The 14,460-nt window shown below is 40.0% G+C and overlaps 1 protein-coding gene across 26 annotated transcripts in view; it reads left to right on the plus strand.

Moving 5' to 3' along the window:
• SYTL5 (synaptotagmin like 5) overlaps nucleotides 1-14,460 on the plus strand; it is a 239,906-nt gene that overhangs the window by 107,514 nt on the left and 117,932 nt on the right. For 5 of the 26 annotated variants that reach the window (XM_047442662.1, XM_047442668.1, XM_047442661.1 and 2 more), the window contains exon 1: nucleotides 10,125-10,240. The exons of the other annotated variants lie outside the window; for them this stretch is intronic. The gene's annotated coding sequence lies outside the window, so the exon portion shown is untranslated. Of the gene's footprint in view, nucleotides 1-10,124; nucleotides 10,241-14,460 lie in introns of those variants that run through there. 26 annotated transcript variants of the gene reach the window in all.

The raw sequence follows: 14,460 nt of genomic DNA on the forward strand, positions 1-14,460 counted from the left end.
CAGGACAGCACTGGTGGCCAGTGTCCTATTGGGAGTGTGAAAACTAACGCCCAAGTGGGCAAGGACAGAGGCCGGGGTGACTGTGGCTGCCAACCAGGCCAGGGATCACAAGCAGTGTCAGGGCAGGCTGGTGCCAGACTCAGGTCAAGACTGCAGAAAACTTCATGTGTGAAGATAGACAAGCCCCAGAGTCAAGCCTGAGGGCAGGAGACTTGGAGGGTAAAGGCAACTTTTTGTTGGCTTTACCGCAAGGCCTGGTTATCAGGCTCGTCTCCCACCTAGAGCATCTTTTGGGAAGCAAAGCATTTTGAAGGCCCAGGTCTCCTGTTCCCTTTATGTGATAGATCCTACATGATGTAGCCTATGGGAGATGGCCTGACTCCTTAGAGAGTACCTCCGTTACTCCCAAAATAGGAGTCTAGAAAGAGAGGTACTTCTATCAACATCTAACACATCATTTTCCTAATCCTCAGATTACAAAGTGGCAGCTCACATACCTAATCTGGACAGCAGATGAGATCATTAGAACTACAATGCTGTTTTTAAGGAAAATTATTTTGTTGCCAACATTGAAAAATCTAGATCTTTCATCTGAAAATCTCAATTTCTGGGTTTCCTTAGAAAATCAAAATGTCTCGGTATATATGTGGCTACAGTTAGATAGAAATAATTAGCTGCTACCCCATTAAGACGAGATATTTAGTTTCCTACATTCCTCATGATGGCAGTGGTGGCCCATCTGGGGTGGCCGTTGCCATCATGCCAGCTGCAGCAGGGAGCCATGACCAGGGCTGCACACTTTGTGGAGCTGGTGGGAGCTGGGGACAAGTGGGAGCCCTGTCCCTTTCAAATTGGTGTGGCAGTAGCTCCCCGGTTGCAGCCGCAGCTGCCCGAGCGGTGGTTGTGGACCCAGGCCTCCCACTCCATGGAGCAGGCAGGAGTCCTGCCCTCCTGGACACAGCTGCAGCCATCCAAATCGCGGCTGCAGACCCAGGCATCCCTACCCTCTTGGAAATGTCTGCTCCCCCTGCTTGGCTCTCCCTGCTGTCAGTGCCCACTCCAATCTCAAAGCAAAGTCAGGGCTGATCCCAGGTGCTGTCACAGCCAGGTCAGGTGTGCACATGCTTGGGGCAGTGCTGACACACCAGTTCCCTGCTGCCTTAGCCCCCTCCAGACTTTGGGCTCTGACAAGCTTAGGAAGGGAGACAATGGGGGGCCAAGGACAGCTCAGTGCTGGCCTGCAGATATCCCCTGGCACCTACAGCCTGGGTGCCATGAACGGCAGCAGGAGGCAGACAGGTTCCTAGGTGGAAGGTCCACATTGAGGCCCCGAGTTCAGGCCAGGAAGGGCCTGAAAGCTGGGGGCTGGACTGCAGTCCTACAGACTGGAGCGGGAATGTGTTGTGCTTTATCTGGGCCCACCCATGGCCACCCGTGGACCAGTCAGCATACACTTCCTCCCCTCTGAGGCCCTTAAAAGCCAGAGGACTCAGCCAGAGCTGAACAAATGTTGGGACCACCAGCTGCAGAGAGGAGCTAGCCACCCCAAGTCCTCCTCTCTGCTGACAGCTGGGAAGATGACAGGAAGACCTGCCTACAGAGAGGAGCTTCCCACTCCAAGGTCTCCTCTCTGCTAGGAGCTGAACACTCATCAGGACACCCTTGCTGCAGAAAGGAGCTGCCCCCTGTGGGAGACTAAGCTATTCTATTGCTCAGTAAAGCTCCCCTTCATCTTTCTCACCCTCCACTTGTTGGTGTACCTCATTCTTCCTGGTCACAAGACAAGAACTCAGGACCCGTCAAATGGTGGGGCTAAAAGAGCTTTAACACAAACAGGTTGAAACATGCCCCTTGCTCGCCATGTTGCAGGCAAAGAGAAAGAGAGAAGAGTTTTGGCCCTTCGGGGAGCCCAGACCTGAGAACTACTTGAGCAAGGGCTGTCACTCCCTCTTTGGGGCTCTGTGGTTCACTGGCATCTCCAAACTTCCAGGTGCCACCATGTTTCCCGGTGCCAGCTGTGGAAGCTGCTTGTCGTGCGCCTGGTCCAGTGGCAGCCTCACAGAGAGCCGGCACCTATTCTGGCATCTGGAACTGCCTGCCTGCCCTGTTGCAGCAGCTGGCATGTCTGACTGTGTGCAGTGGCTGAACCCCACGCTTCCTCACACACCCCTTGCCGTTCCACACCTTACTCCCCCTTGACAGGTGTGGGACCCAGGCTGGTAACATGAGCCAAGCACAGCCTGCCAGGCTGAGTGGGCACAGCGAGCCCAGCAGGACCGAGCACAACTCAGACAAAGGTGCCACCTGCCACAGAGATTTCTGGCCAGAAAAACGACACCCTAAAGATCTCATAACACTTACTCTTCCCTATTGTATCCGATTACTGACTCATCCCTTTCCTTAAAGTACCTGTCTGGCTTCTATAGATGAGTTCATTATTCTCACTGTAATTTAAATCTCCAACTCTAATGTTCAGAAGGATTCCTTCTCTAATTACTATAGTGCAGTGCAGCACTCCTCAGATTATTTATGGTGTAAAGCCACTATTTTCTATTTTTCATGTTCTATTTAATTTAGAGATGATATGTGGTCCTATTGTGCATGACTACTGTATGGCTCACCATTGAATCATCACTGGAGTTTAACAACAGTCAGACTGGTATACACCCTGTCCAATAAGATGACTTCACTCACTTAAATGTGTGACGAAGACAGATTTCTATAAAGGATCCTGAATGGTGGTATTCAATTCCTGTACCTGTTGCAGCCAATCAGTAATAAAAACTTTGTAGCCGTACACTGTTCCTAAAATCACAGTGTGTGTAACACTGGAATGGTGAATTTATTGTATTCTATTATTTTAGGAGTATGATTTTAAATGTAATGAAGGGCAATAAATAGAATCTGCATTTGGCATTTTCTTAATGTGTGTCTTCCAAAGGACTTTATGAGAGTAGAAGATTTGATCCTCTTAATGTTCTAGAATAACTGTAGGGAAATATCTCTAACTTATTAAAGCAAACTCTAGTAAAGGAAACCAGTTAGCATCAAGGAGGCAGGTTACATACCATGGTTGGGAGTTATTTGCATTCTGAAATGTAGGATGAAAATAATTCATCAGCTCAACTGTGAAGGGGAGTCTTCATGACAAGAAAGGGGAAAATAGTGAAAGGAGGGGCAGAAGAGCTGACTTCTGGTCCCCTCAGTAGAATTTACTTGGGGGACCATCAGCTTCTGTGGCTGTAAAATGAGGTTGGAAAAATTATTTCAAAGGTCTTCTTGAGGTATACAGTTATCAGACTATGCTCTTTTCCTAAGAAAGAATCTCTACTGAAAATGGGTAAAAGGGGACCAGACTTTTTTTCTAAGTTCTCCATTTTACAGCTGAGGTCACTGTGGCCCAAAGATGATAATCAGCTCTTTCAAGGTCAAAGCAGGGATGAGAGCTGGTCATCCCACCTGTTGTTGAAGCTCTTTCCTCTCCTTTATCCTTAGAAATAGCGCTCAAGATAGAAGGTGCTTAATGTTCTCTTCTGGGAAAGTGAAGCTCATGTGTTCAATGCCAAGATGTTGGGGTCGCTTGGATTTCTAGGAAAGCACTCACAACAACTTGTGAGGTCTCATTCTTGATAGTGAGTCTTGACAACACTCTCACTTAACAACTCACTCTCGAGAACTTTCACTTGTGTTTTATTTGGGGAAGCCCAGACAGGTTGGGAAAAAAGGGCTGATTTTATAATGCAGGTCCTTAGACTTCGAAAACCTAGGTCTTGTTCCACTGGACGTTGTGTAACTGTGTTGTGAACACAAATGCTTCTCAGTTAAGGTTTTCTGGAAATTCTGACTCTATCCACTGACATTGTCTTAAATGTGGTTATGGGGTGATATGATGAGCCCAAGCCCAAAAGTCTATTTTTTGAAAAATTTTATGGGTACATAGTAGGTGTATGTATTTATGGGTTACATAGAAATGGGAAAAGTTCCCTTGTCCCCCTCACAGGGCATGTGATGGACGTGTGGCTCACTTCTTCAGTGCCCTGCTGCTCAAACCCCTAGCGGGAGCATGCAGACTGGTAGGTTGTGGGGCTCTGACCCCATGGCGGTATCTAAAGGTGAATGTTTACAGATGAAGCCTCAGTAGGCATGTGTTACAGTATGCTCTTTCAGTTTAGCCATCTGTAGGTAGCTCGTGTTAGTCAGCTCAATTAGACCCACTGCCTTATCGCAAGGACAGAGGGCTTTCTGTATCCCAGGGTTTCTTGCCTTGGTGTACTGGAAGAATCGGATCACACATGGGCTTGGAGAACGAGTGCGAGGTTTTATTGAGTGGAAGTAGCTCTCAGCAGATAGCGAAGCCAGAAGGGAGATGGAGTGGGAACGTGGTTTTCCCCTGGATCCAGGCCCGCTCAGTGGCCGGGCTCTTCTCCGACCGCCCCAACCGAACTCCGCATTGTTTTGCTGGTCAATGGCCTGCCAACCTGCCAGCATCTGCCAGTGCCTGTCGGTGCGCTCTGCCAGCGTGCTCCTCTTGATGTCCAGCTGCTTGTTTCTCTGCCCGCGAAGATCTTGGGGTTTTTATAAGCACAGGATAGGGGTGTGGTGGGCCAGCGTGGTCTTGGGAAATGCAACATTTGGGCAGGAAAAAATGTCTGTCCTCACCTAGGTCCCTGGTCACAGGCCCAGGGGTGGAGCCCTAGCCACAGACCACACCCTCCCCTACCCAGCACTTCCCTGCCCTCCTCCCATATCAACATGAGATATTTTGATGCAGGTCTTCAATACGTAATCATCACATCAGGGTAAATGGGGTATCCATGACCTCAAGCATTTATCCTTTGTGTTATAAACAATCCAGTTATAGTTTCTTTGTTAATTTAAAATGTACAATTAAATTATTTTGGACTATAGTCACTGTTGTGCTAGCAAATACTAGCATAGAAAAACTAGAAAGAATTAATGTCTTATTTATTCTTTCTATTTTTTGCACCCATTAACCCTCCCAACTTCCCCTCCAGCACCCTACTACCCTTCCTGGCCTCTGGTAAACATCTTTCTACCCTCTGTTCTCACGAGTTCAAATATTTCAATTTTTAGTTCCCACAAATATGTGAGAACATGTGAAATTTGTCTTTCTGTGCCTGGCCTATTTCACTTAACATAATGACCTCCAGTTTCTTCCATGTTGTTGCAAATGATAGGATCTCATTCTTCTTTATGGCTTGGTAGTGCTCCATTGTGTATATGTACCACATTTTCTCTATCCATCTGTTGATGGACATATAGGTTGTTTTCAAATCTTGTCTATTATAAATGGTGCTGCAATAAATATGGGAGTGCAGATATCTCTTGGATATACTGATTTCCTTTCTTTTAGTTATATACCGAGCAGTGGGATTGTTGGATCATATAGTAGCTCTATTTTGAGTTTTTTTAAATATATATATTTTTTACTATACTTTAAGTTTTAGGGTACATGTGCACAATGTGCAGGTTTGTTACATATGTATACATGTGCCATGCTGGTGTGCTGCACCCATTAACTCTTCATTTAACATTAGGTATATCTCCTAATGCTATCCCTCCCCACTCCCCCCACCCCACAACAGTCCCCAGAGTGTGATGTTCCCCTTCCTGTGTCCATGTGTTCTCATTGTTCAATTCCCACCTATGAGTGAGAACATGTGGTGTTTGGTTTTTTGTCCTTGCAATAGTTTGCTGAGAATGATGGTTTCCAGCTTCATCCATGTCCCTACAAAGGACATCAACTCATTGGTTTTTATGGCTGCATAGTATTCCATGGTGTATATGTGCCACATTTTCTTAATCCAGTCTAACATTGTTGGACAGTTGGGTTGGTTCCAAGTCTTTGCTATTGTGAATAGTGCTGCAATAAACATACGTGTGCATGTGTCTTTATAGCAGCATGATTTATAATCCTTTGGGTATATATCCAGTAATGGGATGGCTGGGTCAAATGGTATTTCTACTCTAGATCCCTGAGGAATCGCCACACTGACTTCCACAATGGTTGAACTAGTTAACAGTCCCACCAACAGTGTAAAAGTGTTCCTATTTCTCCACATCCTCTCCAGCACCTGTTGTTTCCTGACTTTTGGATGATCGCCATTCTAACTGGTGTGAGATGGTATCTCATTGTGGTTTTGATTTGCATTTCTGTGATGGCCAGTGATGATGAGCATTTTTTCATCTGTCTTTTGGCTGCATAAATGTCTTCTTTTGAGACGTGTCTGTTCATATCCTTTGCCCACTTTTTGATGGGGTTGTTTGTCTTTTTTCTTGTAAATTTGTTTGAGTTCATTGTAGATTCTGGATATTAGCCCTTTGTCAGATGAGTAGATTGCAAAAATTTTCTCCCATTCTGTAGGTTGCCTGTTCACTCTGATGGTAGTTTTCTTTTGCTGTGCAGAAACTCTTTAGTTTAATGAGATCCCATTTGTCAATTTTGTCTTTTGTTGCCATTGCTTTTGGTGTTTTAGACATGAAGTCCTTGCCCATGCCTATGTCCTGAATGGTATTGCCTAGTTTTTCTTCTAGGGTTTTTATGGTTTTAGGTCTAACATTTAAGTCTTTAATCCATCTTGAATTAATTTTTGTATAAGGTGCAAGGAAGGGATCCAGTTTCAGCTTTCTACATATGGCTAGCCAGTTTTCCCAGCACCATTTATCAAATAGGGAATCCTTTCCCCATTGCTTGTTTTTCTCAGGTTTGTCAAAGATCAGATAGTTGTAGATATGCGGTATTATTTCTGAGGGCTCTGTTCTGTTCCATTGGTCTATATGTCTGTTTTGGTACCAGTACCATGCTGTTTTGGTTACTGTAGCCTTGTAGTATAGTTTGAAGTCAGGTAGCGTGATACCTCCAGTGTTGTTCTTTTGGCTTAGGATTGACTTGGCAATCTCCTTAAGCTGATAGGCAACTTCAGCAAAGTCTCAGGATACAAAATCAATGTACAAAAATCACAAGCATTTTTATACACCAATAACAGACAAACAGAGAGCCAAATCCTGAGTGAACTCCCATTCACAATTGCTTCAAAGAGAATAAAATACCTAGGAATCCAACTTACAAGGGACGTGAAGGACCTCTTCAAGGAGAACTACAAACCACTGCTCAATGAAATAAAAGAGGATACAAACAAATGGAAGAACATTCCATGCTCATGGGTAGGAAGAATATATATCGTGAAAATGTCCATATTGCCCAAGGTAATTTATAGATTCAATGCCATCCCCATCAAGCTACCAATGACTTTCTTCACAGAATTGGAAAAAACTACTTTAAGTTCATATTTTGAGTTTTTAAAGGAACCTTCAAACTGTTCTCTAGAGTGGTTGTACTAATTTGTATTCACACCAACAGTGTACAAGTGTTCCCTTTTCTCCAAATCCTCACCAGCATTTGTTATTGCTTCTCTTTTGGGTATAAGCCATTTTAACTGGAGTAAGATGACATCTCATTGTAGTTTTGATTTGCATTTCTCTGATGATCACTGATATTTAGCACCTTTTCATATGCCTTTTTGCCATTTGTATGTCTTCTTTTGAGAAATGTCTATTGAGATCCCCTGCCAGTTTTTAAATCAGATCATTATATTTTTCCCTATAGAGTTATTCGAGCTCCTTATATATTCTGGTTATTAATCCCTTGTCAGATTGGTAGTTTGCAAATATTTTCTCCTGCTCTGTAGGTTGGCTCTTCACTTTGTTGATTGTTTCCTTGCCATGCAGGAGCTTCTTAACTTGATGTGATCCCATTTGTCACTGTTTGTTTTGGTTGCCTGTGCTTGTGGGGTATTACTCAATAAATCCTTGCCCAGTCAAATGTGCTAGAGAGGTTTCCCAATGTTTTGTTTTTGTTGTTTCATAGTTTGAGGTCTTAGATTTAAATAGTACAATCGCATGGAGAACCGTTTGTAGGTTCCTCAAAAAATTCAAAATAGAGCTACCATATGATCCAGCAATCCCACTCCTGAGTATATACCCAAAAGAAAGGAAATCAGTATATTCAAGAGATATCTGCACTCCCATGTTTACTGCAGCACTATTTACAATAGACAAAATTTGGAAGCAATATAAATGTCCATCAACAGATGAATGGATAAAGAAACTGTGGTACATATACACAATAGAGTGCTACCATCTATAAAGAAGAATGAGATTCTGTCGTTTGCAACAACATGGATGGAACTGAAGGTCATTATGTTAAGTCAAATAAGCCAGACACAGAAAAAAAATTTTGCATATTCTCACTTACTTGTGGGAGCTGAAAATGAAAATAATTGAACTCATGGAGATAGAGAGTAGAAATATGGTTACCAGAGGCTGGGAAGGGTAGTGAGGTGCTGGGGGGAAGTAGGGAGGATTAATGGGTACAAAAATAGAAAGAATGAATAAGACATAGTATTTCTTAGTACAACAGGGTGACTATAGTAAAAATAATAATTTAATTGTGCATTTTAAAATAATGAAGACAGTATGATTGTATTGTTTGTAACACAAAGGATAATTGCTTGAGGCTATGGATACCCCATTTACCCTGATGTGATCTTTATATATTGCAAGCCTGTATCAAAATATCTCTGTAACTCATAAATATATACACCTACTATTTTTCCATAAAAATTACAAATAAAAAATCCTAAAACTCAGCCCTTACAAGATCTGCAGGGGAGACAGAATTTGTAGGTTGATCTCCCAAATTCATCAGGCTTGGAAAGGACCTTAGACTTTCTGCATAACTACATTAGCAAAACCAAACCAATTCTATGGAAATGCCAATATTAATAGAACAAATATTAATACTCCTCAGAGGGAGATAGCAGAGTCTTTACACTATATGATCCCCATTGTCCAATATGCAATAAAAAAATTCAACATGCAAAGAAACAAGAAAATATCACCTATTGTCATAAAATCAGTAGAAACAGACCCAAAAATGTCCAGTTGTTAAACTTCATAGAAAAAGACTAAATCAATTATTATGTATTCAAAGAACAAACAGAAAATAGGTTCAAAGAATGAAAGGAAAATATGATCTTTATAAATGTACAGATAGTGAATTTCAGCAGAGAAATGGAAACTATAAAAATAACCACATGGAAATTTTAGAGCTTAAAAAATTATAGTAACTGAAATTAATAACACACTAGATGGGCTCACATTAGTTTGGAGATGGCTAGCATCAAATGAGCTTGAAGACAGATCAAAAGTAATCATCCAATCTGAAAAAAATGGAACAAAACATGTATCTCTAAACTTTTTAAAGGTGTTGTATTGACTTCTTTTGTATGAGTTTTTTAACATAAGAAAGTAATAACTCTCTTGGTACTTCAAGCTAGACTCACGTTTTCGATTCTCCAGGACACCACCTTTGGGGTTCCCCACTGTAGCTAAAAGGGACCTGGCTATGGTAACATAAATGGGTAATCACCTTGGCAGAAGTGATCTTAACAAAAATTTCACTTACTTCAACTAAAGATTCAGTACCATACAAGCACTGAGAAAACCTCACTCATTCTCTAATGTTCAGCTGAGCAATCACATACTGTTACACATTTGTCTTCTAAAAGTCATACATACATAGCACAGTGCTATGATTAGATACCTGGACTATGGTTATGGAGTGCCTGGATTTAACTTTTGACTCCAGTACTTACTAACTGGGTGACTGTGGGCAGACTACTTAGTTTGTTCATTTGTAATATGGGGATAATAATATTATACACCTAACACATTTGGAGAATTATTGGAGAGGATATATGTAAAGCACTTACAACAGTGCCTGGCACATATGTGTTCATTGTTATCACGTTTCTCCCAGGTTTTTTAAGAATAGAGATTTTCAGGGGTAGAAGAATATTAAAAGAGTGAATCACCTTTAAAACACTGGTGTAAAAAATACCTCATGTCAAAAAATGTTTAAAATGTGCTTTAGATGAAACCTGTTACCTTTCCCCTGCTGATCAACAGAGACATTCCTTTTTGAAAGCTCAGCTTTAGAGATACTGCCTTCTTCTTGAAATAGCTGTCTGCAACAGATAAACATTACTCTGTGCTACTGGGTGTGTTCAATGTGTAAATAGATTGTGGGAATATGAGAGGCTGGTTTTTCAAGTTCCTGCTCCAAGTAGTTCACAAGGGTCAAGTAGTCCAGCATTCTACAGTTTGTGTGTTTGAGAGAAAAATAAGCCCATAAAAACATTCTAACCTTCAGATTAAGGTAAGACTAATGCGTTTAGGGATCTCCAGTGTGATATCTGATTTCTTAATTTCTGTATTTTGTGTGTGGTAGGGGAGTAGTGGGATTTGCTGGTCAGGAAGAAAACAGCTCCTTCCACCATTTGATATTGTATTTTACAGTAAAAAAGGGAGAAATATGTACAGAAGGGACATTTTGGCCATTGGTAGCTATGAGTTTAATGGATTGAGGAGAGAAATATAAGTATCTTTTTGTTATTAACACTTGATTCTATCTATGAAGTGAAGCATTGCACTAGGTTCTACTGAAGAGTGAGTGCCTCCAGGAACAAATATGCATTCTAGTGACATAAAAAAATCAAATTCACAGCAGAAGTGTTGCATCATTTTGCTATAAATCTCTCACACCTCTCTATATAAACCTCTCACATCTCTATATAACATAGATTGTCCTTTTGCTCTGAATTTCTTTCATTTATTAGAAAATTTAGATGTTTCATTTGGAATTATTTAATTGTTTTTACATTCAGTTCCATTTTTGATATGGACAAATATCCAGTATGGATATAAATTCAGTAGAAGGATTAATAAAGTCTGAAAAACCTGGAATAATTTCAACATGAATATGATACTGTAACAGCTTACAGAAATGCGATATTAACTGTGAACATTAATATACTCTGAAAAGATGCATCAGGGTTTAAAAAATTTCTCCTTAATGTAGATTGTTTTAATTACCAATACTGTCTTCCTCATTTAAATGAAAAACGTAATTTTACAACTATTAATATATAACTTCTCTTTGCTCCAAGTATATGTGTATGCCTGGAGAAAAGCATATGCCTGGAGAAAACAGGAGTTATATATTTATAGCATTCAAAATAGTATAAAATATTGTTTACATGTAATAATGCATTTAGAAGTACTACTTCAGTAGTAGCCTCCTTAAAAAGTATTTTAAACACAGGAATTAAGTATATAATTTTTTCATTTTGTAATAAGTTGTTTATATGTTATTTGGACAACAGCTTACACACAAAAGTGTTACAATTCATACCCTAGGTCTTAAATGCATGAAGCCATTTGTTTGGACTCTAGTGAAATCCTTAAATTGGTCCTTGCATCCCTCAGTATATATATGTACATACCCACATATACATGCATATTTACATGTGGGCAACTAATAACTGAGAAAATGTCTTACTGCTCTTTTAGTTGTTGAATCATGCTTTTTCTATGTATTTATGATTTCCTGAAATTCTTTGCTATTTTAAGTTTGGGTATTAGCTATGTTATCCTTCTATTTATTCAGATTTGTTAAAGTCTTCTGATAGGTTTAGTGAATAAAATTATTGAGCTTCTACCTCTTTTCTTTTGGAGGCCCATTTAGTATTTTTGTTGAAATTACTTCCTTATTATTATTTAGTATGTTAAGGGAAGGAAAAGGAAATGTAGCTTTAATATGTAAAATGAGCAGTTCGTTTTACTTAAGCTCTATTATATGATGATGTATCTTATGACTATTTTGCCATCCTGCGTAAGCACTTAGCTAATCATCTTTAATACATTCTACTTAAAATCTACTTGTAAATATGCTTTTGTACATTCATATCTTACTTGTCTGTGGTCTCTCATCCTCTTTCTCTCTCACCCCTCTATATACATTCACACATTTTCCATGATTTCACAAAACTTCTCTCCAACCTCGTTCCATTCCTGGTTATCTCTTTCTGTGGGGAGTATCATCATTTCCTTTGACCTCTGTTTCTCTACATCTTCCATCTTGCTTAGCCCATGGACTTTTGATTTTACTGAAGACAGCAAAAAAGCAGATGGTGCTTCTGTTACTTGCAGAGTTAGCAACCGCTGTGGTTACCTTAGGTTCTGAAAGATTATCTAAAATAGGGAGGAGCTCCTAGAGGAACAAAATATAATAAACATGTAGTGTACTGGGATAAAAAATTCACTTGATCTGGTCTCTCTCTCCTTTTAACAAAAACATTTCTCTAAGAAGTGATTAATAAAACATACCCTACTGCCTCACTTTCTCTTTTAAAATCTTTCTTTCAAATTCCCCTATGACATAAAATCAATCTTCATCACTTTATTGACACTGTACTTCCAAGGGTCACCTGTAGTGCTGCTAGGAAATTCAAGTACATTCATTTATTTATGTATTCATTCATCCATTCAATAAATATTTATTTAGTGACAGCTATGCATCAGGCATTGCTGAGCACTGAAGTTACAGTAGGGAACACTTAAGTCTGCCTTTATATATCTCCAGTCTAGTTAGGAAGGGTGTTAACTCACCCAAATAATTCATTACAAGTGTGATAAGGGCTATAAGGAATACTTTTCCAAATTCTCATTTTATTCATCCCCTTGGCTCTATGTGACACACATGATCAATTCCTACTTCTTAAATTTTCTCTTTCCTTCTTGTCCATGACTCTATACTATTTATTCAACTGCTTTTCTACCACTTCCCTTCTTGTCTATTTTTCCTTTTCTCTTCCTTAAGTTTGGGTTTCCCTCAAAGGTTTAGCATTTATTTAGCCTATAACCTATTACGTTTTGCCTTTCTCTATAACTTCTTATCAACCCTTAGTTTTAAATATCACCTCTAAGTGGATACCTCCAAGACTTCCATTTCCACATCTTATCTTTTCCATCTGCTATACATTTTCCCACTTGTATGTCCAAGGGTCACTCGACATTCATCATGATTGTAGCCAAACTCACAGCTTTTATGTCAAACCACTTCCCCTTTCATTTCATTTGTTTCTGTGAATGGCATTAATGATCTCTTGGTTTCTCACATTTGAAATCTTGGAGTCAATTTTGCTTCTAACTTTTCCTTTGCTCTCAATATCCAAACCACTACCAAGTCCATTCATTTCTTTAATTATAATGTATCTAGAAGCCATCCTCTCTCATCTCCCTTTTCTGTTATTTTTTTCTTTTATTCTCTATTTTCTCATCCTTTTTTCCCTCAGTCTAAGAGCTACCTACAATTCAAGGTTTTGGTCAGGCCCCATCTCCATCAGAAAGTCCACACCTCATGGATATCTTCTTTTTCTAAGCCCCAGAATCATTGGGGTAGTGAAAAGAACATAGCCAAAGAGCCAGGTTTAAGTTTTGATTCTACCATTCACTGCCCCCTGTGCACTCTCTGTGAACCACAGTTTCCTCAGACTCATTCTATCTCATATAGTGGCCACAGGAACAAATATAGTCATGGAGAGGAAATCATTTTGAACTATGAAGAACTATATAGATATTAAAGTAAGATTTGTTGCTGGAAGAATAACTCAGTAGCAGAGACCAAAACCCCAGGTCTTAACTATTGAAATCATATTGTGCAGGGGTTGAGAGTGTTGACTCTGCAGTCAGATGACCTGAGTTTGAATCTCAGCTCTGCTACTTACCAGCTGCATGAAATTGAGAAAACTTAGTTAGCTTTCCTGTTGCTGAGTTTCCTCACTGTCAATTGGGGATAACAATAGTTTCTACTGATAAGAGTGTTGTAGGATTAGAACGTTTAGTAAATGTAAAATACTTAAAATAGTGCCTAGCTCATAGTAAGTGCTCTGCAAATGTGGAAGAGGTGGTAGGGGCCTATGAGGCTAAGTGTGGTTACGAGGTGAAAGCCAGGTATTAGAACTGAGCCACCAGATGGGGATTAGGTACAGCAAGGATGCAAGCACAGAGCTACAGACTGGACACATGTACCTAGATGAATCCCTCATGATTCAGATAAAAAAAAGAATGATCTTGCCATTTGGGGCAGAACTGAGCAAATGATGGAGGTATGAACGTTCTGAGCGACCATTCGGGGCACAAAAATGGGGATAACAGTCTTTCAGACACATTTTCTTTTTGTTAAAGAAGAACAAATGTTAGATTGCCCTTTTGTGTTGTGAAATATGTCAGTATATCATGGAATCAAAATGTCAGTATCCAAATAAATGTCCAAATGTTGAGAAAGCTGACTCAACTGTCCTCTATATTCTAGAAATCCGTCTCTTTAACAGTCATATGCTTATTGCATTTCAGAGGACAAGGGCCCTTAGAAATGTCATTCCTCACAATTTATAGGATTATTGCCCAAAGTGTGTATTTTTACTAATACACTTGGAGATTAGTTTGTTTGATTGTTTCATGTCAGAAAGAAAAATAATAATAATACTTAGAATATTCTAAGGGTTGTTCTAAGTGCCTTAAATTTTTTAACTCATT

This window comes from Homo sapiens, chromosome X, assembly GCF_000001405.40.
Source record: "Homo sapiens chromosome X, GRCh38.p14 Primary Assembly".
NCBI classification, from domain to species: Eukaryota; Metazoa; Chordata; class Mammalia; order Primates; family Hominidae; genus Homo; species Homo sapiens.